Below are 6,409 nucleotides of genomic sequence, written 5' to 3'. Positions count from 1 at the left end.
TCCCTAGTGGCTTATGGCGTGGTTATTAGTGGAGGCAGTGGTGAAGTTTTGCTGGGAATGGAAATGCTAGGTGGACCTATCTTTGAGCCCTAATGGTGGCAGCTGTAGGCCAAGTGTACTTGTCCTTGGGCCCCAAGGCAGTGTACATGGCACTGGTGTTAGCAGGTCCAGGCAGGCCAATTCTTAGGCCTCTAGGCAGCTTGCTCAGGTGCTGGAAGTGGCAGCAGTGGGCTGGCCAGGTGGGCATGTTTTCAGTCCTGTGGGCAGTTGGCATGGCGTGGGTGATGGTAGTAGCATTGGCAGGACAACACTCTGGCTTCTAAGTGGTTTGTGCTGGTGTTGGTGGTGGCTGCAATAGGTTTGACAGGCCAGTTTCCAGGCTCACAGGCGGTACATGTGGGTGGGTGCCAACTGTGGTTGTAGTGGCAAGTTGGGTAGGCCAGACCTCAGGCCCCTGGGATAAATGCTCAGGTGCCAATGGTGGTGGACTGGGCTGGGCAGCCTCCAGGCCTCCAGACAGCAATCCTATGCACTGGGGCACAGGGGATAGAGCCAGACTGGATGGACCTGTCCTCAAATCCCATAGTGGTGCATGCAGGCTCTGGCTGTGGTAGGCCGGGGTTGGGTGATCCCTAAGCCCTCAGTGGAGTGCTTTGGTTGGGTGTGGCAGTGGCTGTGCTTCAGCCTGCTACTTGGGAGGATGGGGTTGCTTTCAGTGGCAGCAGCCATACAGGTAGCTGGGGAGTGCCGTCTTTGCTAGCACTTTGGCCTTGGTAGCAGCAGCCCACAGTGGTGGCAGCTGAGGGTGTGAGAGTTTGTGTTCAGGTCTGTGAAAATGCACAGCAACTTTGCTGCTGGCGGGAGTGGGGTCTTTGTCAATGACTTGTGTTTCAGCCCTAATACAGCAGTGCTAGTGGGTGGGATATGTCAATGTGGCTCCAAGGATGTGAACAGGCAGGGGCTGTTGGGCCCCTGGGCAGGAAGCAGTCTGGTGGGGACTGGGCTGTCAATATGGCACCTTTCTGTAGTTGCTTAGGACTGGGCATGGGGTGGGACCCAGTGTGAGCCTCCTCTCTGGAGCAATGCAGTTGCTCGGTCTCCAGGCGGCTCTCTATACAGTCTCAGGGCCTGTGTGGGCTGAGGGGGTCTCCTATGGCTAGGATTACAGGAGTTCACGGTGGGGATGTGAACTTCAGGGTGTATTTCGCTTACCCTTTCTCTGCATTCGGGAGCCCCTCCAGGCTCCCAGCTGATCCTGGCGGAGAAGGCTGCCTCACTTTCCTCTCCTTCCTTGCTTAGATGTTTCCTGTCACTTTTCTGTTGAATTTCAGTGTTCTCTCTTAGATGATCTATTTGAAGTGTGATTATCTGCTTGCTATTTCGGTTCTTCTTTGTGGAGGAGGTGAGTACCAGATGCCTTCAGTTAGCCATCTGGAAGCCCCTCCAAATTTTTTGAATTATTGTTTGTCTGATGCCAATTCTGGATTTTCAAAAAATAATCTTTGATTAATTTACCTGTGGTTTAATGTGAAATGTGTATGGTTTTTGTCCTCGTTTCCTGATATAGACCTTCTAAACCCTTGTTGTTTTTTGAGTGATAAGAGTGACAGGAGCATCTTTTGTTATAATATTTGGTTCTTGTACAAAGTTCCTAAAACTCTTAGAATTTCCTGAGTAATAAAAGTGTCTTTTGTTTCAAGACCTTTTGGTCACACCTGAGTTTATCCTAATGAGGTGACTTAGGGTGGGGAAAGGAGGGAGAGAGCCAAAGATAAAGCTCTATAAAAATTCTTGGATGAGATTTGAGGAGCTTCTGGATAATTGAACATGTGGAGGTTCCTAGAAGGTAGCATGCCCAGAGAAGGCATGGAAGCTGCACACCCCTTCCCACATGCCTTGCCCAGTGCATCTCTTCCATCTGCTGTTCACCTGTTTCCTTTGTAATATTCTTTTTTTTTGAAAGAGCAAAGCAACAAAAGCAGAGATTTGTTGAAAATGAAAGCGCACGCCACAGGGTGGAAGTGGGTCCAAGCAAGTGGCTCAAGGGCCAAGTTACAGAGTTTCCTGGGGCTTAAATACCCTCTAGAGGTTTCCACTGGTTACTTGGTGTACGCCCTACATAAATGAAAAGGGTGAAGTTACAAAGTCATTTATTCGGTGTACGCCCTATGTAAAAGGAGAGGGTATTTCCTGTCATAGCTGAAGTGTTTCCATTTGATTTGGTTCTGGGAAGTCCTCAGGCTCCCTGCCTCCAAGTCCTGTTCTCCTGCCTCATTTCCTCCCTGAAAGACGGGATTCCAGTAAATCTTTATGGCAGGTGGAGAGACTGATGGTCTTTCTTCCGTAACTGCTTCATGCTGGCTTGGGGTGTAGTCCCTACATACTGGGGATCATGGAACATTTGTCCTGCTCTGTCTTGTGGAGGAAGGGTAGCTCCTTGATGGCCAGGGGTGGTGTCTCCACCTGGTACTGGCTGGAACCCTTGTAGCATGTCCTGAAGCTTGATGATCTCTAGGTGAGAGGAAATGAATTTGGTTAAAAGATTTTATGGGAACCTCACAGGGTGGATACCTATGCTGTGAGGAATGTTTGTTATAGAGATTTGAGGAAGAAAAACAAAACCTGGTCTGTGGTCTGTTCTAGGATCTATGTGTTTCCTTAAAGTCTTAGCACGAGGGACTCCATTTTGGTTTGGTTTGGTCTGTTGGGTCCCAGCTCATGAGCTCAGTCCAAAACAATGGCCTCCCATAATTTTGTTTAAAAAAACTTCCCTTTTGGTCAGGTTCTCATTTAGGTAAGAGTGTGACCAAAACTTAGAGCCTTTGTGCTACTCTCAGTTACCATGATTTTGGATTTCTGGTCTCAGCACGTCATTCATTGGTTATGGTGTCCTCATGGTCACACCTTTCTTTCATCTCTTGTCATTCAGTTGAAGAGAGACCATTTGACATTCTGGAGATGGCTGCATGGAAGCACTTAAAACCTTTGAGAGAATACATATACCAGGGAGACTATTATAATGCCTGTTAGGAAGATAACACCAAGTTTGGAGTATTCTTCTTACCCAGGATCCGCATAAACCAAACCACCTGAAATCAAATAGATCAAAGAGTGAGCAGATGCCAATCCCTGCTCCTCTGCTGTGTTTCTTAGGAACCTGGTTGGACTTGGACCTGATGGGTTGGGGCATCATCTGTCAAATGCTGCTGCAGAGGCTTTTCCCGCATCTGCACCTCCGCTGGGTGCAGGAGCTGGGTTGAAAGGCCGCCCATGGTCAGGTTGGCCACCTGCTTCATGAGGTTGAACTGCTTCTTCATGGCAGCGGCAGCGGCAACCCGCGGGGCTCCACCCGGCAGGCAGGGCTACACCCAGAGGGCTCCTACCGGGCTTCACAGCTGAAGTGACCTGCGGCGGCTACCTCTTTTTTTTTTTTTTCCTTGGACGGATCTTGCTCCGTCGCCCAGGCTGGATTGCAATGCACGATCTCGGTTCACTGCAACCTCAGCCTCCCGGGTTCAAGCGATTGAGTAGCCTCCTGAGTAGCTGGGACTACAGGCGTGCACCATCACGCCTGGCTAATTTTTGTATTTTTAGTAGAGACAGGGTTTCACCATGTTGGTCAGGCTGGTCTCGAATGCCCGACCTCAGGTGATCCGCCCGCCTCGGCCACCCAAAGTGCTGGGATTACAGGCGTGAGCTACCACACCTGGCCTGTAATATTCTTTATAATAGACTAGTAAATGTAAATAAAGTATTTCCCTGGGTTCTGAGCCACTCTTGCAAATTAATCAAGCCCTGAGGAGGGGGTTGTGAGAACCCAGTGGTCATTCAGAAGCATAGGTAACAACCTGGGGCTTTCAACTGACATCTGAAGTGGGCATAATCTTGTGGGACTGAGCTCGCAACCTTCAGGATTTGACATCATCTCCAGGTAGGTAGTGTCAGAATGGAATTAAAGGACAGCCAGATGGTGTCTGCTGGAGAGTCTACTGCAGGATTGATTGTTTTCTCACACAGTGTGTGTGAGAAAGAAATCCCATACATCTGGAGCCAGAAGTGTTGTATTGAGTGTGTGAGTAGTGAGTACAGAGTAGGAAAAATAGCTTTTTGATTTTTCTTCTATTTCTACAATATCTAGAAATTATAGTGTCTAAATGATAGTGTATTTTGCTTTGGGAAAAGTGAATATTTTCCTGTAAGGGTATAATAAAAAATATGTGAGGATCTTATTGGCCCCTCCCCAAGGCCTATCATACACCCAGCTAGGTGCAATGTCTTATATTAGCCATTTTTTAATTTCAGAAATTAAAACCCCATAGGAAGAGAAAACATATCACTCTCTAGAGAGGCAATATAGCGTAGTGGTCAAGAATGTAGATGGGAACAAAGACCCCTGTAGAACCTAGGACAAAGACCAAATATATTACAGATTAAGCCCCAGGTATATTAATCAAAGATGATTTTTGAAAATCCAGAATTGGATTAGAATTACAATAGAACCCAAGAAGAAACAATATTCTGTTTGGGTTCTATTCCCAGCTCTTTTACTTACAAGCTCTGCAAACATGAACAAGTTATTCATTTCTCTCTGTGCCACAGACAGTTGTAAAATACGGGTAGTATTGGTAACTACATCCTATAGTTATGATGATTAAATGATTAAATAATTTAAAAATCATCAGGCACTTTGAACAGTTCTTGGCATACAGGTGCCCATTTATGGAAAAATTCCAGTGTATGGAAAATCCTATTCACAAAATTAAATACTCAATATACCCCGAAAATATATCAATAAAAAATTGTGGGAAAAAATTTAAATGATCATATTTATCATCCTAAATGCCTAAAAGAATGAAACTACTCTGAAATGTTTCAGTGCATACACCTGAAAGTTGTAAAGCCTTCAAATATGAAGAAAATCATGCAGATATTTGAAACTTTCAAAGTTTTATTTAATACTGAACCCATATAATGCCCAGCCTGGAAAATCTGTCCATGATCTCAGGACTTCTCATCCTCCATAATTGCATGAGCCAATTCCTTTTATAACTTATAACTTACACATACAACGTACATACAATATATATAGTTTGAAAATCTATCTATCTATCTATCTATCTATCTATCTATCTATCTATCTATCTATCTATCATCTGATCTCCTATTGGTCTGTTTCTTTGGAGAACCCTGGCTAATACAATAGATAAAATACTAAGTGTTGGCAAAGATAGATAGCAAATAAATTTTTATACATTGGTTAGCATAAAATAGCACAACTGCTTTGGAAAATAATTTGGCAGTTATTTATGAAGTTAAACATACCCTTAACATATGACCTAGCAATTCTAATCCTCAGTATTTATCCAAGATAAATGAAAATATATATTCACCAAAAGATTTGTACACAAATATTCATAGTTGCATTATTCATAATAGCCCCAAATTAGAAACAACCACAATTTTTATCAATAGGTGAATAGATAAAAAAATTTGTGATATATCCCTATAATAGAATATTGCTCAGTAATGAAAAGAAGTAAACTGCACAAGAAGCCAGGCACAGAAGTGCTACTTATGCATATAGTATAGTTGAAGAAGGACTGACTGGGAAGTGTGCTGGTTACATAAGAGTATACATTGTCAAAATTCATCAGACTGTACACTTAAAATATTTGGAATTTTATTTTATGTGTATTATAAATGAATAAAGTTGATTTAAAAAGAAAAAAATCTAGGTAAAGTTCTGAATTTTATAACATTATCACATGCCAATTTATCGCTTTAATTTTTATTTTAGGGAAGATTCATATTATCAATGCTGGAAACTAATTCCTAGTTCTGATATTTCTGCCTCTAGTAATGAGAAATTGTGTCAAATTAATATGGAAAAATTCTTTCTTAAATGCCTTTTTGTATTACATGTCAAAGCAATGATATTTATTGTGCCATAATTGAGGTTTCAATTGTACCACATATAGAAAAAACAATTCCTGCTTATACCATCAATTCTAATAACAATTTAAAAGTTTGCTAATACACACAGACATCGTGAGCTATTCTTATTGATGTAAAGGCTAAATAGCAGTTATGCCAAAAATTATATGTCAAAGGTTTTAAATTAGTCTCATTTTCTAAGAGGTACATGTCTAGGTTTATATAATTTAGTAAAAAAAAAAAAGTCTCTAAGAAAATATTTTATGAATTTTTCCAAAGCAAAATTGAACAATCAAGAAGGAGTAAATTGTGTGAACAATAACAATTTTGTGAGTCCCTGTATTAGTCTCTTCTCACACTGCTATAAAGATACTACCCAGGACTAGGTAACTTATAAAAGAAAGAGATTTAATTGACTCACAGTTCCACATGGCTGGGGAGGCCTCAGAAAACTTAGGATCAGGGCGGAAGGGGA

General features: G+C 42.6%; 1 annotated feature.

Moving 5' to 3' along the window:
• Positions 481–981: an enhancer, noted in NCBI's record as "H3K4me1 hESC enhancer chr2:196304790-196305290 (GRCh37/hg19 assembly coordinates)". NCBI's record gives its function as "activates a minimal SCP1, AML or CMV promoter by ChIP-STARR-seq in naive H9 embryonic stem cells {active_cell/tissue: H9 hESC(naive)}" and the evidence as "EXISTENCE:reporter gene assay evidence [ECO:0000049][PMID:30033119]".

This window comes from Homo sapiens, chromosome 2, assembly GCF_000001405.40.
Source record: "Homo sapiens chromosome 2, GRCh38.p14 Primary Assembly".
Classification (NCBI taxonomy): Eukaryota; Metazoa; Chordata; class Mammalia; order Primates; family Hominidae; genus Homo; species Homo sapiens.
The sequence above is the reverse complement of the archived record's forward strand: the minus strand, read 5'-3'. Positions and strand labels throughout refer to the sequence as shown.